At 48.9% G+C, this 21,196-nt stretch overlaps 1 annotated feature.

Annotated features, from left to right (window-relative positions):
- Nucleotides 7,403-8,024: an enhancer, noted in NCBI's record as "OCT4-NANOG-H3K27ac hESC enhancer chr10:72730532-72731153 (GRCh37/hg19 assembly coordinates)". NCBI's record gives its function as "activates a minimal SCP1, AML or CMV promoter by ChIP-STARR-seq in naive H9 embryonic stem cells {active_cell/tissue: H9 hESC(naive)}" and the evidence as "EXISTENCE:reporter gene assay evidence [ECO:0000049][PMID:30033119]".

The raw sequence follows: 21,196 nt of genomic DNA, 5'->3' as shown, positions 1-21,196 counted from the left end.
GAGATGGTGGCAGTGGTGACATGTTGGCCTGTCATACCACCACCTGTTGCCTAGAGACCTTTCTTGTAGAATAAGACTTCACCCCTGACCTTGGCCAGATAGTGCACATGCAGAAACACACACACACACACTCACACACACAAAGGGCAGCTTTGGGAAAATTGGCACTGGAGGCCAGAGGACTTTCCAGCCAGCCCAAGCAGAAAAAGATAACCTCCACCCCACCTGCCAAGTTCTGACCTGAGGGGGACACTTAGGTGCAGAGCAGGAGCCTGGACAACGTGCCGGACCCCAAGCTGCTACTTCCACCAACGTCCTCAACTCTCACCATGCTGGGATGATTAGGCACCCCAATGTGGCAGGAGGGGAAACTGAGGCTGGGGAGTGCAGCTTACCCATGGTCATGTAGCTAGCAGCTGGAGAAGGTGGCTTCAACTCAAACTTGTCAGCCGCCCCGCCCAGTGCTCCTTAGGTTAAGCCCAGGTGCTGGTGGGATACACAAGAAAAGCTTAGACTCACACAAGAGGGGTGAAAGCAGGCAGCCTGGTCTGGAGCTAAAAATACTGGACTTGGAATTGACAGAGCTGCCCTCCCCTCCCCAGTGATTCACTCGCTGACCTCGGTTAATCAGACACAGCAGCTCTCTGCCTCAGTTTACCCATTTGGATGTCAAATGTCACACTCACAAAGAGGGGTGAGGACCATGGAGAAGTGTGTTTCGGAGGAAAACAAAAGTGTGGTACAAGCCACGAATGGTGTCGTTGGCCTCGTTATTAATGTCATTAACAATAATACCAGTAATAAATCGCCAGGCTGCTGAAAAGTGCGCTAAGTAGAGGGGTGACGACTGATTTCCCTCACACTTGTCTGGCACTCTGGGCTCCTTATGGCTTCCTCCCATCCATCATCCCTGCAGTCATCCTGAGGCCCACCCATCAGGGCGGCCAGGCAGGGACTGCGGGAGGCGAGGTCTCCCGAGATCAGAACAGATGGGGACCTGAGGCCGGGGAGCAGAGGACTCACCAGGGTCCCCCAGCCAGGGGAAGAGGGACTGGGACGTGGGCCCAACCTGCAGATTCTGATGCAGCTCCTCCAGCTCCCCCTCCACCCACCCACCTCCCACTGCACCCCAGAAGAATTGGCACCTTCGGCAAAGCAGTGGAGCGCCTGCAGCGAGGCCTCAGGCCTCAGAGCAGAGCAGCAGGTGAGGAGGCAGGCGAGGCCCTTCACAAAGGCTTCGAGAAGGGGCTTCATCTCTCGGCTCTCTTTTTCCCACCTGCTTCTCCTTCCCCACGTGGAGGAGGCCCTGAGCTTGGTGGGAAGATGTAGAGAAATGACAGCCGGCCTCCCTCATGCATTCCTCAGAGTCTTCTTATGGCTCTGCCTCAATTTCCCCACCTTGGCAATGGGTCCAGGGACCTTGCTACCTAAGGGAAGGAACAACCATCAAAGGAATCCCAGACTGACATTGAATGGGACACTGGAGGGAAGTGAAGGCTGCCCACGGTCCCTCCTGTCTCAGGGAGGCTGCAGTCCTGGGTGGGAGGGGCTTTGTCCGGCTCCTCTGGTAAGTGGCCTCCTGGGGGGCCACTAGGTGCTTCAGGCTCATGTGTCCCCCTGCTCTGGAAAAGGAGGTTTGAACAGAGAAGCTCTCATCCCCACCTAGGACTTCTCCCTCATATGGGCCACCTTCCTCCACTCAGTCTTATTTCCCCCTTCCCTCCCCTCTCTCCCCATTTCTGAGTTTAGACTTTGTGGGTACCCCTCTCTGAATCCAGCACCCCCACATACATACGTAGACACACAAGTTTTTCTCCCACACACTGCCCCTTTTGGAGGCCTTCAGTGGTTTCCCAGGGCCCTAAGGACAAAAGCCTAAACTCCCAGACCTATGTTCAAGACCTCTGTGATCAGTGATCATGCCCCAACCACTAACTGCTGCTGCCCTGCGGAATCCAGCCCTCTAGTCAAGAGGGAACACCTGCTCTTCTCTAAGTACCTGTTTCCCCACCTCCACCCCTTGCCCTGCAGTCCCCTTCCTAGAAGCCCCTCCCTCCACCTCTGTGGACTCAAGTCTTTCCCAAGCCCTTCAAAGGCCACATCCTCCAGGCTCGCTGGTTCTCCACACAGAGAGGCCATCCCTACACCATGAGCCCCCAAGGCTCTGTTCCTCCTCTCTGGTGGCACCTCCATATTCAACCAGAGTTCTGCCGAATGTGTCTGCTACTCCCCCTCCACACACACACACCCCCTAGGCCCTTCAGAGAAGAAATCTTATCCAGCCCAGGGAGTGTCATTCAGCAACTCACATACCAAAGGGATTCGACAACTCTCTGTTGCATCAAAATTGCATTAAACCATCCCAAACCCAGAAATGCCACTCCTGGATATACACCCAACGGAAATGCATGCATATGGTCTTCAACATATATGTACTAGAATGTTCAGAGCAACAGTATGCATAATAGCTAAAAACTGGAAATAAGTCCTGTCAATAGACATGAGAGTGAATAAATTGTGGAATACTATGCAGCAGTGAAAATGAGCTGCTGCTGCCCACATCACACATGAGTCGCACAGACAGTGTTGAAGGAAAGAAAGAGACATAGGAGAGAACATACCACAGTTTATGATCCCAATTATAGAGAGTTCTAAATCAGACTAAACTAACGTAAGGTGATAGAAGTCAGAATAGTGGCTTATTTTATGGGGAGGGAAACATCAGGGATATGCAGGCGGGAAACCTGGGGTGCTGGAAATCTGCAATTTCTTCAGTAGGGTGGTCGTTTTAAAACACAGGATTGAGTGCCCCTGCATGATATCACACAAATCACCTGACCTCTGAAGTTTTCATTTTTCCCAATGTAAAAGGGCCAGAATGCCCACACCCAACTTCTTCCAGCTATCCGAAGACTATGTGAGAATGCACTTGAGGGCCGGGAAGATAGAGTGTCCCAAAGCCTGAAAAGTTTGCGGGAAAACCGCCACCTTTCTCCATAGCTGCAATGGCTCCCAACATACAAACCAGTTTACCTTGACATTGTTCGGGGTAGGCAGCTAGTGCAGCTTTGTCTGGCCTCACATGGGCAGATATTTGCCTGGAAAATGACCTAGTGGCCTGGGGTACTAGGTACAGCTGCTCCTGCTCTCTGACTTCAGTGGTATACTGAAAATTGTTTAACGACTGGCATGGTGGTGGGGGTGGGGAGTGAAAATGCCCTGGTTTGTAGTGTTTGCCAGTTCCCATGGTGTAAATATTCTCACTGTGGATAATTTCAAGCTACTAAAGTGATGTTCCTGAGCATGTTGTGGGGAAGAGATGTGCATAACTGGACCTTGTGAACCGGTGTAAGGCAGCTCCAATATACCACTGGGTTAATCCTCCTAAAGCACAGCTTCCTGGGTCCAGTGTTGGAGGCAGGAGCCAGGGGTCTGAGGATGTGAGCCATGCAGAAGGCTTGGTCTATGAGAGGGTCCTCCTTGGCATTCCCCTTTCAGAAAGGCCACTTCTTTCTGCCAAATCGTATTCCAATCTGGGTCCAGCCTTCTTCCCTCTTACTGCAGCCTCACTCCAATCCCTCTCCAACCCCCGTAAGTAATCTCTCACCAAAGTCCTTTGGCTCCTCTGAAGCTCTCACATCCCTCCTCTCCTCATCCGCCTTCACAGTCCCAGTCCCTCCCACGCCATCTTCCATCTGACCTGCCCATGCAGCCTCTGCTCTGCCCCCGTCTCCTGCTCCCCAGCAGCCTCTCTTTTACAGTAAAGTCATAGTGATCTTTATAAAACAGACTTCATTGTAGCATGCCCTCCCTTGAAAACACCTCGTGGCTTCCCACTGTCTACGCAAGGGCCAAAAGCTTGTCAGCCTGGCATTTTTGATGGTCCTAGCTCAGGCATTCCCTACCCCTGGAGTGTCCACACACTCTTCTACAACCCTGTGTAAACAGTCCCTGTATTAAAGGACTCCTCAAAGCCTGTCTGTTTTCTGCTGGGATCCTGACAGACGTGAAGAGGAAGACCTATTTACCCACCGGATCTATCCCACATGGAACAGGCTGCTTCAAGAGGAGTGAGCTCCCTGTTTCTAGAGCTGATCAAGCAGAGGCTTGTCTGACATGTTGTTGGAGAGATTTCAGCATTAATTGGGGCCTCAGTTAGAAGACCTTTATGGTCCCCAGCCACCTGAGAGCCCCTGCTCTTGTGCCTGCCTCACCAAAAAGCATCTGGCCCCAGTGCCTCTGCGGCTGTGCTTTGATGACTCATCACAGTCAGCAGTCATCACCCTGGGCCAGGTCCTGTCACAGCCTCTTACCATCAGCTTCGGGCTTACACCCCAGGCACCGAGAAACACAGGGTAGAAGGGATTCTTCCCTTCCCCACTTTGCCTCCTCCTTTACTTCCAATCCAGCAGCAGATAAGGTGGTAGAGGGGATACTGGGGGAGAGAAAAAGTGGAGAGGAGAACAGCCCCCAAGTAAGGACAGGAGACCCAGGATGGAGAATGTTATTTTAAAGATGGGGAAACTGAGTCCCAGAGTGACAGCACATGCCCCACAATTCTACAGGAACATTGGTGCTGCCCTTTCCTGGCGCCAGCCAAAGACCCCATCCTCTCCCCGCTGCTTCGCTGGTGTCATTGTGGCACTGTGTTTGGGGGATAATAATACGTCACTCCCGCTTATGCATCAGAGGTGAAAGTAAACACAAGGAATCTAAACTGTAGTTTCTCCCCCTACCCTTTCTCCCCAAGTGACGAGGCTTTTGAGCAATGGAGAGAGGCAGTCCCCCAGTCCTGAAACACAGGTTTGAGCTCAGCCCCGCCATTCCAGCTGTGTGCTCCTGAGAAAGTCACTCAAATTCTGCCCCCTGAGCTTTCTCAGCTGTAAGAAGATGCTTACAATGTCGAAGATGATATATTTGAATATATTTGAACGCACCTTGCACAGTGCGTGGCTCTTGGTAGATGCTCACCCATGGCTATTTCCTTTCATGTTAATCAACTTTATTGAAGTATAATCTACATCTAAGCAAGGGCATCCATTTTAAGTGGGCAGCTCATGAGTCTAACAAAGGTCAAAATCACAGCCAAGAGGTAAAATGTTTCCCTCAGCCCCCAAATTTCCTCCTGCCTTTTTGAAATCCTCCTGACTTTGGACACAGGTGACCACTGATCTGCTTTAGATTTATTGTTGCCTATTCTAGAATTTCATATAAATGGAATCTAACATGTGTACCTTTTGGGGTTTGGCTTCTTTCAGTCAGCATAATGATTTTTTAGATTTATCTGTGTTGTCATATATATATCAATCCACTCCTTTTCATTGCTGAGTAGTATTCCATTATATGAATATATAGAATGAACCTTACCCATTTTATTATTTCTAGTTTCAGTGACTAGAAATAAAGCTGATGTAAAAATTCATATGCAGGTCTTTTCATGAACATGTTTTCATTTTTCTTGGATAAATATTTAGGAGTAGGATTGTTGGATCATATGACAAGTTATTTAACATTATTTTAAAAAGCTGTATCTGCTTTCTAAAGTATTTGTACTATTTTGCATCCCTACTAGCAATATGAGAATTCCAGTTACTCTGCATCCTCTCCAGCTTTTGTTGTTTTAAAATTAGCTGTTTTAATAAGTGTGTAGTGGGATTTCACTGCAGTTTAATTTTTCATTTCCCTGGTAACGAATGATGTTAAACATCTTTTACTTATGTATTTGCCATCTGTGTCCCTTCTTTAGTGAACGTCCAAATATTTTGCCGATTTTAAAAACCGTTGTTTTTTTTCTAATTATTGAGTTGTGAAGTTTCTTTATATATTTTAAATGCAAGTTCTTTATCATTTACAGATGTTTTCTCCAAATCTACAGCCATCTTTTCACTTTCTTACTAGTCTTTCCAAGATGAGAAGTTTAAAATTTCATGAATTCCAATTTAATCTAAATGTTCTCTTATTGTTTGTGCTTTCTGTGTCTAATCTAATAAATCTTTGCCTAACTCAAGGTCATAAAGATTTTCTCCTATATTATCTTCTAGTAATTTTGTAGTTTTACATATTGCATTTAGGTCTATGATCCATTTGGAATTAATTTCTGTGTATGGTGTGAGGTAGGAGTCAGCATTTCAATTTTGCTTATGGATGACCAATTGTTCCAGCATAATTTATTGAAAAGATGATTTTTCTCCATTGAATCACCTGGCACTTTTGTCAAAAATTAATTGGCCACATATGTGTGGGTCTAATACTGGTCTCTATTTTTTTCATCTACCTATTTGTCATGATTATGGTAATTATTTGGCAAGTTTGAAAATGGTAGTATGAGTTGTCCAACTTTGTTCTTTTTAAAAATACTTTTGGCTATTTCAAGTTCTTTTATTTCCATATACATTTTGGAATCACTCTGTCAATATTTATAAGAAAGTATGCTGGAATTTTTATTAGGATTACATGAAACCTATAAATAATATGGGAAAAATTAACTGCTTAACCATATTCAGTCTTCTGATCTATAAACAATATTTTATATCTCTCCATTTATTTAGATCTTCTTTGATTTCTCTCATCAATTTTGTAGTTTTTAGCACACAAAGCTTACACATATTTTGTTGGATTGATCCCCAAGCATTTCACATTTTCATGCTATTGTAAATGGATTTTTTAAAATTACAATTTCTAATTGTTCATTGCTAGTACACAGAAATACAATTAAATTTTGTATATTACCCTTTTTTCCTGAAACCTTGCTAAATTCGTATGTTCTAGTAGTTTTTTGGTACATTCTGTTGGGATTTTATATGTAGACAATTATGTCATCTGCAAATAAAGACAGTTCTTTACGTTCCTTTCCAATCTGGGTACTTTTAGTCCTTTTTCTTGCCATATTGCACTGGCAAGTCTTCCAATACAATGTTAAATAGGAATCGTGTAAGTGGACATTCTTGTCTTGTCCTGATCTTATGGGGAAAGCATCAGTTTCTCATTATTAATTATATTACATCCTTATCAGGTTGAAGAAATTCTCTTCTATTCCTAGGTTGCTAAGAATATTTGTCATGGATGAGTGGTAAATTTTGTCAAATGCTTTTTCTGTATCTACTGAAATTATCGATGGTTTTTCTAGTTTAATCTCTTGATATGGTGAATTACATAGATTGATTTTTCAAATGGTGAACCAAACTTGCATTTCTGGGATAAGCCCCACTTGCCTATGATGTATTAACTGTTTAATAGAATTTAAAATTCAACTGGCTAAAATTTTGTAAAGAATTTTTGAATCTATGTTCTTGAAGGGTATTAGTCTAAATTTTTCTTATACTTTAACACGTTTATCTGTTATCTGTTTTGGTGTCAGGGTACTACTTTCCTCATAAAATGAGTTGAGAATGTTCCCATATCTGTATCAAGTATTTTTTATTGAATGCTGGGCATTGTTAATTTCATGTTGTAGAGTGCTAATCTTATTGTAGTTTTTAAAAAGTGTTGGACTTTGTTTTAACATGCAGTTAGGTTACTTACAGATCCTCTACTTACAGAGGACTTTTAATCCTCTAAAGTCTTGTTAAATTCACTCAAGATGAGTTTAGAGTACGCTGCCCCTTGAACTTGTTGAGGCCTATTACTAAGGCATCACCCTCCTGGGGACTCTCCATTCTGACTGGTCAGAACTTGAAGGTCTTCCATGCCTATGTAAATTTGGGGAAACGCTCAGTTTACAGCTCCCTGGTCACTGTTTGCTAGGCTTGTGGAGTTTTACCCTAAATAGTCATGTCTTAAGACTTGGCAACAGAATCCGGGGAATTCCTATGGAGATTTCCAAAGTCTTTTGTCTGCATAGCTTCCTTGTATCCAGTTCTCTGCTCCACAAATTCCAGCTGCCTCAGCCTGATCCAATGCCAATCCATCCCCTCAAATAAGAGAGTTCACTGAGCTCTCCTTGGGCCCCTCCTCCTTACGGTGCAGTCGGAATAGTGCCTTCAGGCAGGGGTGAACATAGGGTCCACCTAATTTGTTTTCTTCATCCCAACAATCACAGTCAATAGCTACCTACTGTCAATGTCTGAAAATAGTTGTTTCATGTATTTTGTCTAGTTCTGTAGGTATTTATGGGGGGAGGGTAAGTCCAGTCTCAGTAACTCAGTAACTCTAACATGGCTGGAAATGGTGTTGTCTCTTTCCTTATTGTAGTCCTTTCCATCTGCCACACCTCTGCCAGCAGAAGACACCTTCTCCTCCTAAAACCTGGGCATGTTGGAGGGGAAGAAATCTGGGCATGACCAGGAAAAGGCCATGCAAGCCTATCTTTCTCCATGCAGCCTCCTTCCTCAACCCCTGCCCACTCCCTCCTCCCCACTCAGGTTTCCTTGGAGCCTGTCTTAGTCTGTTTGTATTGCTATAAGGGAACACCTGCAGCTGAGTAATTTATAATGAAAGAGATAAATTTGGCTCACGGTTCTGCAGGCAGTATAGGAAGCATGGCACCAGCACCTGCTCCTGGTGAGGCCTCAGGAAGCTTCCACTCATGACAGAAGGCGAAGGGGAGTTGGCATCACATGGTGAGAGGAAGGAAGCAAGAGAGAGGAGAGGGAGGTGCCAGGCTCCTGTCCACACTCAGTTCTCCGGGAAATAATAGCATGAAAACCCACTCATTACTACAAGGATGGCACCAAGGCATTCAGGAGGGAGCCATCTCCCACCCCATAACCCAAACAGGTCCCATTAGGCCTCACCTCCAACATTAGGGATGAAATTTCAACATGAGATTTGGAGGGGAAAAATATCCAAAATTATATCAGAGCCCAAGCCTGGTATATTCTTTCAAACCTAGAGTATTGAAACCAATAGGTTTGGCCCTTTTGTGGCAAACACTGACCTGGGTGCTCTTAAAGAATCTTTTTTTTTTTCAGTCCTCACAGTATTTCTCTAAGTTGCTCTGTGCTGGGCATCGTGCAAGGCATTTTATACACATGATTCCGTCAAATATTCACCATAGTTCTATGATATAGTTAACATAGCATGATGTAGTTGCTACTGGGCCCCCTTTTACAGATGAGGAAACAGAGGTGCAGAGACGTTGATTGACTTAAGTGCCCAAGGTCCTACAGCTAAGAAGTGCAGGAGAACCTGCGAAGATGCACAGGGTTTCCAAGGCCAGGAACCCTGCTCTCCCCCGCAGCCCCCACTACACTGGCTCAGCTAGAGCCTCCTTGGTAGGAGCTCATCAGGAGCCTGCAGGCCACTACTCTAGGGCCATTCTCCCCCAGCCTGCCTGCTGTCAGCCTGCAGCTCCAGCGTGCCGCTTGGGCAGGGTGGGTGGCTTGCAGAGAAGGAGGGGCAGTCATTGAGGTTCTCTGACCCTGTGACCCTTCTCAACCGGCCCCCACCGGCCCAGCCTGAGCACCAGGACCCCAAGGAGCCCCTGCCCATCTGTAATCCCCTTGTGACCAATTCAGTTAGTTCCAGTCCCTGCACTCACACCTTGAGCAGGCCACAGGTCACAGGCCCTGTTATGCCTCTGCCCCTTCTCATCCCGCCCTGGGGTCCAGGGGAGGGGGCTTGTGAGGGTCCGAGAACTGCCAGTGCTTACATCTGAAAATTTAATGTGTCCCTTGGGGGAATTCCTAGGACCCTGGGACTCCCTGGGGAGCCACCACCACATTCCAGCCACTATCAATAAAGAAAATGTCACTGACTGAGGGTAGTGGGTCCACTCAGCTCACCTGTCTACTCCTGAATGCAGGTCCACTTTCCTAGGGAAACTTATTCTTGGTTTAGGGGAAAGGGAACATGAAGCCAAGAGCAGGCCTTCCTACCTCCTTCTCTCCCTGACTTCATCACCTTGAACTTCAAGCCTTCCCTGCTCAGTGGGGACAAGGGAGGCAGGACATTATTGAAGAGCTTGGGCCAGGCTTTCTGTGCTTCCTATCCAGTGCACCAAACTCAAATCAAATCAGCCCCCAGGTGCACAGCTCTTGTGTGAAAAACAAAAATGATGTCCCTCATTTGGGTAATGTCTTAACCTTGCCAGTGTGAAAATAATAATAACAGCAGTAGTTACCACTTGCCAAGTCTTGACTGTGAGCCAGGCACTTCACATAATTTACTGCTAATCCTCACAGCCTATAGCATAGATATTACAAAGCCATTTGGCCATGGAGGAAACTGAGGCATAGAGAGATGAGGTAACTTGGCCAAAGGCCCCAGAGCAGGGAAAGTCCTTCCAGCTCAGGAGTACTTGCTTGTATTCCCCACCTGTCTCTGCCATGTAACGAGCAACCTCACCCCTTCTCCAGTTACTCAAGGGACCTGTGAGAGAGACAGAGTTGGCATCAGCATGCCCTGCGACAGATGGGGAAACCGAGGCACCTGGCCTTAAGTCCCCCAGCAGGCTGAGAGCAGAGCCAAGAGAGCAACGTGAGCTTCCATGGCCTCTGAGGGACCTCTCTGCCCACACACATGTGAATGGGTGGAGTTATGTTGTTCCCATGGAAACTTGACAGTCATCACAAAAGCCAAGGGTCTAAAAAGAAACTGGTACAGTTTCAGGGCTGGCCTCACAGACATCTGCTTTAGGAGTCCCTCGATGAGACCCACAACTCATGGGGTGCACATCACTCTAGAGTTTACAAAGCCCTTTCTCGTGTATCATGAAATTCGATCCAACAAGTGAGGCAGGGATTATTTCACTCACTTCGCAGCTAAGGAGCCCGAGGTTCTGGTTAGTGACAGGTGGCCAGATGGTGAATCATCATGAGGCCAGCATGTATCTGAACATCCTCGGTCCAAAAGGTGCTAATGAACTGGGGGAAGGGCAAGGCCTTGGGAGCAGCCAGGCCCTCTGGGTCAGGGCTGACAACCTGAATTGGATGAGGTGCGCAGGAAGCCCCAGGAAGCCGTGGCCAGGAGGCCACTGCCAGGTCTCTCTCCCAGGGCACTAACTGGGGCTGACTGGATCAAGGGGCCATGTTATCCCACCGGAGCTGGTGTCTGGAGCCAGGCAGGGGGTGAACAGCCTTTGTCTCTCCTTTTGTTCCTTTGACCTCAGAGCAGAGGCCTGCATGAGGTTGCCCTGGGGAACCTGGAATCTGAGCTAATGAGGCGACTTCCTGGCCCAACCCAGACAGCTGAGGCTGCAGCACCATCGGTAGTAAGGGACAGGTAGCCTGGGACCTCTTCTGAGCCTAACAGTCTGGGTCCCCTTGTGGGTAAAAGCATCCAACAAGTGTCTGTGTGTGCTGTGAACAAGTACACTGGACAATAGGTGTAGACAGGGACCATCCGGAACACTGAAAGACATGGTCATCCCGCCTGTACCATCAGCATCCTCATCTCCATCTAAAAGACAAGCCAAGGATCACAGAGACTGCCACTTGCCCAGGGACACAGCTGGGCAGAGGCAAGCCTCAGATCTGAATCAGACCAGAATCCAGCTTTTGCTCCTGTCCCCTGACAGACCCTCCACCCTCCACTTGCCATGGTAATAATATCTCTCATTGATCAAGCACTCATTCCAGGCCAGACACTGTGCTAAGCGCTTTACATTCATTATCTCATTAAATTCTCATAATCAGTCTAAAAAGGGGGACTATTATCGCCTTTTTAGAGATGAAGAAATGGGGCACAGAAAGGCTAAGCAATTTGCCCAGAGTCACATAGATAGGAATTCGTTAGATAGTCCAAGAGGTCTTAAGTCAGGCCAGCTGGGAAATGTGCCAGCTACCAGATGGGGGAGGTGGGGGGAACATGGAGATATGCTAATCCTGGAGGACTTTCTAGAGGAGGCAGCTGGCATCTAATGGAGGGGCCGGTATGGAAGATCACAGCACAACCTCCCAGCTCAGCCACCTCTCTCCTCCCATCACTCCCAGACCTCCAGCAGCTTGCAGAAGAATGCACGTTCCAGGTTTGGCATCCAAACCTGGTGGGTCGAGATCCTGGGTTTCTATGGCAACCGTATCCTTAATAGCATCCAATAAGGACATTATTTGGCTGCAGTAAGCGCACACGATCTTTTGATTACTGCTGAAGGTATCAAGAGGCAGCCCTCCCCCTCTCCAAGGGCCCCCATCCTTCCTTGGAAAAACAGATGCTGCCCTCCCAAAAAGTGGGGGTATAGAAATCAGGGGAAAGTTCTCACACAAGAGAGGGGGAAATGGTCAAAAAAAAAATCAATGTTTGCATTAATGGAGTTGCCTGTTCAGCATTTCTCCTCTTTTATAGATTTAGATAACATGCTCGTCAGGGATATATCTTCATTTCCCAGAGCAAAGAAATTGATTACTCACTAATGGCACAATTCAGAAATTAATTTGTGCTACCGTCTCAAATATGTTGTTATTAATCAATTGAGAGTGTGGGGCTGGCAGGGGAAAAGGTGTCCACCAGGGTCTGAGGCTCTCAAGGCTGACCTATATTTGATGGACATTTCCAGAGGCTCAACTTGGGCCACTCAAAACCAGGGGCCAGAGGGTACAGACCCGAAAGACGATTCCGAGGATGCTGTGGGAAGAACATTAGACCGGAAGTTGGATGACTCAAAATCTAGGATTGACTTTGGGCGAGTCCCTCTGGGTCTCAGTTTTCCTGTCTACACTGAGAAAGGTTGGATTTGAGCAGTGCTTCTCAACCCTCCTCTAACTGCAGAGTTCGTTTTATAAAACAGCTTGCAGAATTCCAGGGTGCAAGATGTGCAGGTGGGAGCAGGAGTGGGGGGCCTGGAGGCTCTGACCCCCCCCCCCCAGTTATGGTCCCCAGGGCTCTGCAGAGCACTATCGAGCACTCTTGGGGAGAGAGTGTCAGAGGTTTTGTCATTTGGGGAGGTGGCCGTGGTTTCACCCTTCGGCACCCTGTTCAGCTCCAGCACAAGCTCTCAGTGCTAGACAGGCAGCACTAACAAGGCTGCCCTTCCATGCCAGAAACAGGGCCTGGTACACAGCAGGCACTCAATAAGTGCTTATTGTATGAGTAATGGTTTGGCCTTAGACCACTAGGATGGAGAGGGCTGGCCAAGTGGGCAGTGCCACATGAAAATGGGGAGCCTGGGTGAGTTTGGCTCGTGAGGAGGGGCAGCAGAGGCGGGCAGGGCCCTCAGGATGAAGGTCAGAAGAGGTCAGATGGGAGCGACAGGTGTCAGGCACCCAGGACAATGCTGGAACAGGAACACAGTGGCAGTGACTGCGTGCTGACGCAGCCAGGCATGGCACTCGGCGCTCATACACAGATGTCTTAGTTAATCCTCACCACAGCCCCCCAAGCCCTATTACCACTATTCCCCCATTCCACAAATGAGAGGCTGCCCAGGGCGTGCAGCTGGGGTGGAAGAGCCACTTTCAAATCCCAGCATCATGGCTGGGGGCCCATGCCCTCACCCACCATGCGCTTCACCTCTGCGTCGTGACTGGCTTGCAATCTGCTATTTCTCTGTGACCCTTCAGAGTCTCTGCAGGTCTTTATTCCCCTCACCTGGCTTGGTGCTGGGAGGTGGGCAGGGTCCATATCACTCTCCCCATTTGACAAATGAGGGAATGAGGCTCAGAGAACCCAAACCAGCAAGCATAGACAGAGGGGAGGCTTACACCCAGGCCTCCTGGAGTCCGACCTCGTCCTGGCAGGGCAGGGCAAATGGCCTCACCGGATAGATAGTGGGGCCGGCTCACTGAAGGCAAAGGCCAAAGCACCCGAACTGTGTGCAGAACAACCCGTTAGTGCAGGGGTGTTTCACCAGAGCCACAGGGACCCGTGGGGTCTGAGCTATCGATGGAGCAACTGCATCATTGTAGAGATGGGGAAACTGAGTCCCAGTGTGGGGAAGGGCCAACCAAGACTGCCCAGCAAAGGAAGACAGGATTCTCTAGGGTGAGACCCTGGGAGAGAACTTATCCCCTGCAGGATTCATAGCCCATGGGACAGGCACCTCTGTGCCGTTGGTGCCTTAGGGGTGGGTCTTGCTAGACACTGGAGGGCGGGCAGGATGGGCCTCTGGCTCCATTAAGGCCTGAAGATGTGGGATTCAGCATGTGGAAGCAGCAAGTGAGCTGGCCAGGAAACAGCAGGTCAGAGATGATTTCCCAGGTGATCTGTGAGCCTCGGGAGAAGCAACAAGAAAGAGCTGCAGTGCCTGGGGCTGCAGGAGAAAGAGCCGGGCTCCTCTTAGAAGCCAGTATTTCCTGAGTACCTACTATGTGCCAGCCATCTCCATCTGTCATTCCACTTAGTCTTCAGCACCATTCCCACCTGCAGATGAAGAAATGAGGGCTGGAGAGGGCAGGGGCTGGCCCCAAGTCACCCAGTTAGGCACAGGGCTAGAGTGCAGGGAACGCAGGGAACGGCGGAGCAGCTGAGAGGAGGGATGGGTTAGAGAAAGAGTGTTCACTGTGGTTTCCCTGGAGACGCTGACTGCCCACAGCCACTCTTACCCAACACAAATAATGGTGAAAATCTGCACCATCAGGTACACTCTCAGCAGCTCCTGTTCCCAGGGAAGGGGGAGCAGCAGGGTTTTACAGGCTTTGCAGCCAGGAGGGCTGTCATGGTCCTGGCTCTGCCCCGGGCCCTGGTGGGACCTTGGACAAGTGAGCCTCCATTCTCTCATCAGTAAAATGCAGTTAAATCCCTCAGGTTTGGTGAAAAGACCCAAACAAGAGGACTCAGGTGAAGGGCTTGGGGAACTGGAAAACACTGCGTAAGCATCCATGATTGCCCCCTGGCTAGAAGTTTCTTGGCTTTACAGGCCTCCTCTAAAAGTCCAGGAGCCTCTCACTGACTTCCACCAAGCATTTATTTCACCACGGTATGGTGTGGGCCTACTATGTGACAGGCTCATTGCTACACCAGAGCCATAGACACAGCCAGCTCAAGGCAGCCACCTCTGTCTGTAGCCTCCTCTCCAGCAGCTGCACTGACACACACTTGGCATGCACACATGCACGCATCATGCAGCATACACATCCACACTCATATACATGCTCACCTTGTTCACCCACAGCCACACACATATTCTCTCAACCCAAAGACACATGTGCACATGTACACATGCGTGTGCACACACGCACACACAATACACTTCTCTCTCTGTCTCTCATTTACACCATTTTGTCACAAACACATCCAGATAGTCACACATATGCGGTGGTACGTGAGCCACAAGTGCAAACACACATACGCACACTCACATCCTGACCACGAATGTGAACTGAGGCGCGGTGGCAAGAGCATAACTGCTGCTCCTTTCAAGGGAAGAAAGCGAGCCTGGGCGCCAGCAAAATCCTTCCGCTTCAGCCCTTCCTCTCTTTCTCCCTCCCCGTTGTAGCTTTCCTGGTGCTCTGCAGATGGCCCTGCCCTGGCAGGAGCTGGCACTACCCCAGGGCCACTCCCTGCCCCACACCATCCCTGACCAGCTGAGAAGGATCAAGGAAGCTCTCCTTTCCGTCAGGGGGTGGTCTGAGAACCATAGAGGCGCAGTCGCCTGCCTAAGGCCACATCACAACACTTGGAGTCCCACAGTTAAACGTGGGGTTCCCCGTGGTCCCCTCCCCACCCCTGCCATCCAACGCTTCCTTCTCTCAACACCTCCCTTCTTCATCTCTGTCCCTGACTCATGCTTCTGTCTGTCTCTCCTGGTCTCTATTTGCTTCTCTGTCTCTCTATGACACTGTGGTCCAGTGTCCCTCCCTGTTTGTGGCTCTGTGTAACTGTCTCCCTGGGCTGGGTGTGGAAGAGCATGAGTCTCTTAAGTACACTACTCACCTGGCCTGTGCACCTTTAGCCAGGTGGAGGCTGAGAGAAGGCAACTCATGGACCTTCTCTACAGACCTGACTGTGCCCCAAGACCATTGAGACACTAGGTGGAGGTGGGGGCCCTGAGCGGGGTATGTTGTGATTGTGAGTGTGTATAGAGGGTTTACTAATCCCCTGTTGCTCCTTTCCTGCTCCCTAAGGGGTGGGATTTCCCCAGCAGAGGGGCAACGGGGCTTGGCGTTACCTGGCTCAGCCAGGCACCTTTGTGCAAGGTACAACCTATTTAACCATACACAGTGCCCATTGGCAGAGTAGATGCCATTACGTTTAAGTAGGTTGAGTTGGGTTGGGTGGGCTTGGGTAGAAATTGGTGGGTTTGTGTGTGAAAGGTGAAGTTAAAATATGATGAGTACAAATGGGGAGTTGGGCTTTATTAGGCTAAGTTTGGGATGCACTGAGTTGGAGAGTATCCATGTGGAAGGAGGGTTGGGGGCTCACTTTGTGTTTTCGGAGTCATAGCAGCCATAGGGATGCGTGTCTGGTCACCTGTTCCTTATTTAGTGCTTATTACAACAGAACTAGGCTCAGCCCCAGGAAGTGCGGGAACTGATTAAAATGTGTGCAGATCCAATCTTGGGAAACCTCACTGTAAGTCTTCTAGGCCAGGCTTTCAAATTACATGGCTCCTCTCTCTCTTTCCGGTCTGGCCCCCTCTGCTTCCTACAGGGTATTCCTTAAACAATCAGACCTTGCCGCTGAGACCCCAGCCAGAGCACATTCCTGGAGGAGGGAGGGTGCCAGGTGCTGCAGGAGCAGTGTGGGGTTTTGAGGCCAGGTGAGAGTAGCGGCAGGATACATTAGTGAAGAGCATTAGGCATTGGGCATTCTCTGCTGCACTCCTCAAACCATACCTTTCCTGGTGGCAGCTCCAGATCTCTGGAGAAGCCTGTCTAATCCAGTCAGCTAGTCCTGCTCAGGATCTGTGGTCCTGGTCCTCCTCAGGAAGAAGTTGCCTTTTCCCAGGGGCTCCTGGACACGATGCTCTGACCTCCAGATGGAAGTTCTATGGGGATCTCTGTCTACTTGGTAGGCTGGGCAGGGAGGAAACATTTTGAAAATTTAGTGACTTTTGGTCCCCATCCAGTCACAAAGTGAAGGACACTACTGACTTCCTCTAGGTCAAGACCAGCCCCAAGCTGGGAGATGTGTCCCCAGCTTCATGCCAACGGTTGTGAGGAGGTGCCTTGGAGAAGACCCCTCTGTGGAGCCACCTGTGGAGCCACCTTCTCTGTGGAGATGGGTCTGCACCGTGAGAGGAGGAAAGGAAGGATAGAGTAGATGGACTCTGATTCCTTCCAGCACACATGGCGACTGTCACAGAATGAGGGCCTCATGAGTTCCTCAGTTTAACTGGCTCTGGCTCTGCAGCCCACCCCAGGGCTTAGGAAATACTGATTGGTGAGCGATGCTGATCTCTGCCCCTGGAGGGTCCTGAAGTTCTCCTCCTTCGATCCACAGCCTTGGCCTCCCTCCCCCTCCATTAATGCCCTTCACTCCCCCGACAAACTGATGTATGCCTTACTGTGCTCTGTGAGGAGGGTGAAGACATGGAGGTGGCCAGAAGCGGCGGTGGCTGGGTGAGCTGGAGAGCCCTCTCCGCCTCTGCCTCCCTGCCCCTCCCCACCTTACCTGGAGAATAACCTGGCTACCCTTCTGAACCTCTGGCCCGGCAGGAGCAGGCCCTCACTCACCATGGCAGCCTCAGCCCTGCTTGCCAGCCAGGCAATGGAGCCAAGGACATGGGGATTGGATTGTCAGGGAAGAGCCAGCTTTCCCCATCATAGCTGAGGGTGGGAGAGTAACAGCAGCGCACACACACTCACACATACACTTACACATACACACTCACACACTCACACATTCTCTCACACACTCACACATTCTCTCACACACTCACACCCACTTACACATACACACTCTAACACTCACACACATTCCCACACACACTCTCACACACACTCACACATTCACACTCTCACTCTCACACCCACTTACACACACTCTCACATACATTCTCACACACTTACATTATCTCACACACTCACACACACTACTCTCACACACTCTCACACTCACACACACATTCTCACATACACATACTCATTCTCACACACACATACACGCACACACTCACACTCACATACACATGCACACACACCTTCACACACACACTTATACATACACACATTCTCACACATACACACACGTTCTCACACACACACGCTCACATGCTCACACTCACACATTCCTCACATTCCCACACTCACACACACATTCTCACACACTCCATCACACACTCTTACTCTATGCACACATTCTCACACACTCACACATTCTCACACTCACATTCTCACACATAGATACATTCAGTCTCACACATATACACACACTCACATGCACTCACAAATACACACTCACATACACACTCAAACATACACATACACAATGCTGACACATACACATTCTTGCACTCACACATATACACATTCACACTCGCAATTCTCACACATGCTCTCACACACAATTCTCACACACATTCTCACACTCACACATATACATACTCTTACACACACATACTCGCACACTCACACTCAGACCCACATGCACTCACACAAATACACATTCTCACACTCATACACACATACATACTCTCACACACTCACACTCACACACATTTTCACAACACTCACACGCCCACACACATTTTCACAACACTCTCACACTCACACACTCACACACATTCTCACACACACTAAAAGGTCCCTGCAGCAGGGCCACAGCATAGGATTCTTGGCCCTCATATACATAATATATCATAACATGGGACAAAAATTTATAGGAAGATCTGTTTGGGTTCCACATAAAAGAGAACAGTCTAAGAATTAGAACAGTCTCACTATTAAATAGGCTGCCTTGGAAGTAGTGAGCAACTAACCCCTGGAGGGAATGCAAGCTGATGCCGTCCTTCTTGTTAGAGGCCTACAAAAAGGGTTCCTGCTCCCAGAGGTGCTGACCTAGAGGGCCTGTCCATATTAGGGCTTTATGATTCTGGCTAGGACAGTGGGACGTGGAAGAAGGTAAGGAGCTAGGATGGGGGTTCTAGTCCCAATATTTCTATTCACTGTGTGACCCTAGGCAAGCCACAGACCCACAGACCTTCTTGGAGCCTCAGTTTCTCTGCTAGAAAACCACCAGAATGGATGAATCCATGGGTTTCAAACTATGCCCTATGGATCTCAGAGTTCCCTGGAGCTGCCTCAGAGATGCCGTGGGAGTGATGAGAAGGTAGAGGGAACAGGGCCTCCTGCCCATCCCCCAATTCCAAGACACAGCTGTGCAGCTTCCACGTAAGACTTCATTTGAACCAAGGGTGCCTGCAAAGAAAGGTATCAAAACCCAGGAAGGATATTTTGTAAGGATAGTTCTGATGTCTGGACTCGAAATTTCATTTCAGAGATGCTGACTGACCTTCATAAATTAAACTTCGTTCGTGCCCGGCCTCATTCTGGGTACCACTGGGGACCCAGAGAAATCTAAGCCATGGTCTCTACCCTCGGTCCCCTGAAGAAGACAAAATCATGTCTGATCACAAAGTCTGGTGGTTGTCTTTGGGTTTGGTACAATCCATTACTTAGTTTTCATAAAGTGTCCCACTGCTTCCTGGGAGTAACCTGAGAACTGGTCAACCTTAGGGAGTTGGGGCATGGCTGGTGGGGCAAAATCCTTTTCTGTATTCTCTGAGGTGGATGGGGGTGATCCCAGAGGAAATGAGAATGGGGAACAGAGGGAAGAACACCCACATCAGTGTGAAAGGATGTGAGTAAGGAAATCCTTGGGTATGTCCAGCATAATAAGTGACTTTCCTCTAACGGCTGCCACCACCAGGGACAGCTCTCTTCCTGGTAGTACCAGCCGGCTGGGGGGAGAGCTCCATATAGTCCAGAGCACACTATATTCAAAAGGATCTGGGCCAGAGAAGTCTTCATTGGTCTACCAGGCACTGACTTGCAGATGCAGACTCAAGACCTTGAGTTCACCCAGAACTTTCAAGTGTGCAGTGTAACCTGCTAGGGCGGGTCTCGGGGCAGGGGAAACATGCCAACCCCACCACTGACCCTTCTTGCTGCAGACATATTTAGAGCAGCTTCTGCAGTCAAGTGCGTGCAGCAGTATAGTGAGCTCCAGGAATTGAAAGAAGGGAGAAATCCTTGGGAGTTGAAACTGACATGGTGTAGTCCAGTTATTTATCTATGCGTAACAAACTACCTCAAATCTTAATGACTTAAGAACAGTAGTTTATTATTATTGTATCTTTCTGTACTGTGGGTCAGTGATTCAGACAGAGAACAGTGGGGATGGCTTGTCTTTGCTCCATGATGTCCGTGGCCTCAGCTGGGATGACTAATGGCTGGGAGCTGAAACTGACCAGGCATCTCTCACCACATGGCCTTTCCACATGGCTAGCTTGGGCTTCTTTTCTGCATGATGTCTCGGCATAGCCAAAGTTCTTAAATGGCAGGTCCCAGCTCCAAGAAACCAATGTGGGAGCAGCCAGTATTTTTATTTGTTTGTTTGTTTGTTTGTTTGGAGATGGAGTCTTCCTCTGTCACCTAGGCTGGAGTGCAGTGGCACGATCTCGGCTCACTGCAAACTCTGCCTCCCAGGTTCAAGCGATTCTCCTGCCTCAGCCTCCCGAGTAGCTGGGATTACAGGCGCCCGCCATCACACCTGGCTAATTTTTGTATTTTCAGTAGAGATGGGGTTTCACCATGTTGGCCAGGTTGGTCTTGAACTCCTGACCTCAGGTGATCCACCTGCCTTGGCCTCCCAAAGTGCTGGGATTACAGGCATGAGCCACTGTGCCTGGCCTCAGTGTTTTTAAAGATTGGACCTGGAACTGGTATATGTTCACTTCTGCTGGCCACCTTGGTCAAAGCAGTCACGGACCAGCTGAGATTAAAGGGCTGGGGAAGCACCTCCACCTCTCAGTATGTCAAAGACTTTGTGGCCCTATTTAATGCACTGCCAATGATGTGCTAGTTTCTATCGCTGCTGTAACAAATTATCACACATTCAGCAGCTTAAACCATACCTATTTATCACCTCGCAGTTCTGTAGGTTGGAAATCTGGGCACGGCACAGCTCAGCTGGTTCTCTGCTCTGGGATTCACAAAGCCGAAATCAAGGTGTCATCAGGGCTGTGTTCCTTTCTCAGGGCTCTGGGGAGGAATCTGCTTGTAGGCTCATTCATGTTGTGGGCAGAATTCAGTTCCTTGCCATTGCAGGATCAAGGTCCCCATTTTTTTGCCATGATTCTGAGCTTTTGAAGGCTGTCCACATCCTCAGTTCCTGGCCTCTTCCCACATCTTCAAAGCCAGCAATGCAGTGTCAAGTCCTC

Source organism: Homo sapiens, chromosome 10 (assembly GCF_000001405.40).
Source record: "Homo sapiens chromosome 10, GRCh38.p14 Primary Assembly".
Classification (NCBI taxonomy): Eukaryota; Metazoa; Chordata; class Mammalia; order Primates; family Hominidae; genus Homo; species Homo sapiens.
This window is presented reverse-complemented; position numbering and strand designations above follow the sequence as displayed.